General features: G+C 34.9%; 1 long non-coding RNA gene across 2 annotated transcripts in view; it reads left to right on the top strand.

Annotated features, from left to right (window-relative positions):
• Positions 1–3,700, top strand: part of LOC151760 (putative uncharacterized protein) — a 183,623-nt gene that overhangs the window by 26,452 nt on the left and 153,471 nt on the right. The gene's annotated exons all lie outside the window — the stretch shown is intronic.

Below are 3,700 nucleotides of genomic sequence, written 5' to 3'. Positions count from 1 at the left end.
TTACTTTTTCATGTTTTTATGTTTTGTGTCCACTCTGTTGCAGTAACAACACAGATATAAAAGGATTTGAGTCTGTTTATAGTATTAATCAGATTCCCACTCTCATTCATAGTGAGATTTTAAAACCTTTTCTTACACATCTAAAGGAAAGTGTATCTGACCCAGTGGTTTTTTCTTTACCCTGTCACTTTATTTAGTATGCCTCATTAACATCAAATAATAAGGTATTTTATTTGGGGTCTTCTCTCATAGTACTAGAAAATGCAATTTTGCTAGATGAAATTGGTTTCAATCCTAAAAAACTTAATATTTCTTTTCTTACAAATAAATGTTTATACTTTTTTATAACATTCATTTTCCAGATAATGTAGACTTGCTCAGAGATAATATTGTATCAGAAGATTTAGAAGAGTAATTTGTTGAGAATATATAGAATCATCCTCAAATATTTTTTAATTTTTAAATTTTTTTTTGCTTTTCGCCTCCTTTTATTTATACATAATAATTTACATATTTATGGGGTACATTTGAGTGTTAAACTCACAGCATGTATAATGATCAAGTCAGGCTATTTGGAGTATTCACCACCTTGAGTGTTTATCATTTTTACATGTTAGTATCATTTAAAGTCCTCTCCTCTAGTTACTTTGAAATATACATAATATTATTGCTTAGTCACCCTAGTCTGTTATCAAACATTAGGACTTATTTATCTCATCTAACTGTATATTTGTACCCATAATCAACATCTCTTCATTTCCCCCAGCCTCCCTCCCAGTTTCTGTTATTCTTCTGTTCTATATGTCCACAAGATCAAATATTTTAGCTCCCACCTATGAGTAAGAGCATGAGGTATTTGTCTTTCTGTGCCTGGCTTATTTCACTTAACATAATGACCTTCAGTTCAATACATGTTGCTGCAAATGACATGATCTTATTTTTTTTCTATGGATGAATAACATTTCATTGTATACATATGCCACATTTTCTTTATCCATTTGTCCATCGATGAGCATTTAGGCTAATTCCATATCTTTGCTATTGTGAATACTGCTATGATAACACGCGAGTGCAGATACCCTTTTGAAATATTGATTTCTTTCCCTTTGTGTAGATACCTAGTAGTGGGATTACTGGATAGTATATTAGTTCTATTTTTAGTTTTTTTGAAAAAATCTCTGTATTCTTTTCCATAGTGGTTGTACTAATTTACATTTTCACCAACAGTGTGTAAGAATTCTCTTTCCTCCACATCTGTGCCAGCATCTGATATATTTCATCTTTTTAATAATCACCATTCTAAATGGGGTGAGATGATATCTCATTGTGTTTTTGATTTGCATTTCCCTGTTGATTAGTAATATTGAACATTTTTTCATATACCTGTTGGCCATCCAGATGTTCTCTTTTGAGAAATGTCTATTCATGTTCTTTGCCCATTTTTTAATGGGATTATTATTATTATTTTAACTGTTAATATATTTGAGTTCCTTGTATATCCTGGATATCAGTCTCTTGTCAGATGAGTAATTTTCAAATATTTTCTCCCATTCAAGAGGTTAGGGCCAGGCACAATGGCTCATGCCTGTAATCCCAGTGCATTGGGAGGCCAAGATGAGAGGTTCACTTGAAGCCAGAGTTTGAGACCAGCCTGGGCAATATAGCAAGATCCTGTCTCTACAAAAGTAAATAAATAAACTAGTTGGATGTGGTGACACACACTGTACTCTCAGCTATTTGGGAGGCTGAGACATGAGAATCACTTGAGCCCAGGAATTTGAGGCTGCAGTGAGCTATGATTGTGCCCATGCACTCCAGCCTGGGTGACAGAGCAAAACCCTGTCTCTAAAACCAAACAAAAAAAGGGTGTTGTCTCTTTACTCTGTTTGTTATTTCTTTTGCAGTGCAGAGACATTTTAGTTTAATGTAGTCCTGTTATTTTTGTTTTTGTTGCCTGTGCTTTTGAGGTCTGAGCCATAAAATCTTTGCCTAGACCAATGTTCTGAAGAGCTTTTCCTATGTTTTCTCCTAGTAGTTTTATACTTTTGGGTCTTACATTTAAGTCTTCAATCCATCTTGATTGATTTTATATAAGGAGAGAGACAAAGGCCCAGTTTCGTTTTTCCACATATGCTTATCCAGTTATCCCAGCACCATTTATTGAAGAGGGTACCCTTTCCCCAATGTATATTCTTGGCAACTTTGTCAAAGATCAGTTGGCTGTAGATATGTGGCTTTATACCTGGGTTCTGTATTCTGTTCCATTGGTCTATGTGTCTATTTTTATACAATACCATGCTGTTTTGGTTACTTGTAATATGTTTTGAAGTCAGGTAATGTGATGCTTCCAGCTTTGTTCTTTTGGCTTAGGAATCGTTTTGGCTATTCAGGCTGTTTTTGGGTTCCATACTAATTTTAAAGTTGTTTTTTCCATATCTTTGAAGAATTATGTTGGCATTTTGATAGAGATTGCATTGAATCTATAGCTTGCTTTGAGTAATATGGACATTTTAACCAACAGTCATCGAACTTTTTGGCACCAGGGACCAGTTTTGTGGAAGACAATTTTTCCACAGACTAGGGTCAGGGGAGGGGGGATGGTTTCAGGATGAAACTGTTCCACCTCAGATCATCAGACATTAGATTCTCATAAGGAGCACACAACATAGATCCCTTGCATGTGCAGTTCACAATGAAGTTCATGCTCTTGTGAGAATCTAATGCTGCTGCTGATCTGACAGAAGATGGAGCTCAGGCGGTAATGCTCGCTCGCCTGTGGCTTATCTCCTGCTGTGTGGCCTGGTTCCTAATAGCCCACAGACCAGTACTAGGGGTTGAGGACCCCTGATTTTAACAACAGTAATTCTTCAAACCATGAGAATGAGATGTCTTTCCATTTGTTCATGTCTTTCCAGTTTCTTTCCTCATTGTTTTGTAGTTTTCCTTGTAGAGATCTTTTAGCTCTGGTTAAATTTATTTCCAGATATTTCTTTTTCTTTCTTTTTTTTTTTTTTTTTTTGTAGCTATTGTGAATGCGATTGTCTTGATTTCTTTTTCGGCTATATTACCATTGGTATGTAGAAATGCTACTGACTTTTGTATGTTGATTTAGCATCCTGCAGCCTTAGTAAACCTGTTTATAAGTTCTGAGAGTTTTTTGAGTCATCTTTTGTTTTTTCTAGCTATAAGATTATGTCATCTGCAAAGAACAATTTGACTTTTTCTCTTCCAATTTTTTGTGCTTTCTATTTCTTTTTCTTGTCTGGTTACTTTAGCTAGGACTTCCAGCACTGTGTTGGATAGGAGTGGTGAAAATGGGCATCCTAGTTTTCAAATTCTAGAGAAAAGGCTTTCAACTTTTTTGATTCAGTATGATGTTAGCTGTGGGGTTGTTGCATATGGTCTTTTTAATTTTGAGGTATGGTCCTTTCATGTGCAATTTATTGAGAGTTTTTTCGTTTTTATCATAAAGGGTGCTGACTGTTGTCAAATGATTTTTCTGCATCTATTGAGATGATCATATGGTTTTTGTTCTTCATTCTGTTGTTATGTCACATTTGATTTGCATATGTTGAACCATCCTTGCATCTCTGAAATCACACTTGATAATGGTATATTATCTTTTTTTCATTTCTGATTTTGTTTATTTGGGTCTTTCCTTGGTTAGTCTAGTTAGTGGTTCATATGGTGTATTAACCTG

Source organism: Homo sapiens, chromosome 3 (assembly GCF_000001405.40).
Source record: "Homo sapiens chromosome 3, GRCh38.p14 Primary Assembly".
Lineage (NCBI taxonomy): Eukaryota > Metazoa > Chordata > Mammalia > Primates > Hominidae > Homo > Homo sapiens.
This window is presented reverse-complemented; position numbering and strand designations above follow the sequence as displayed.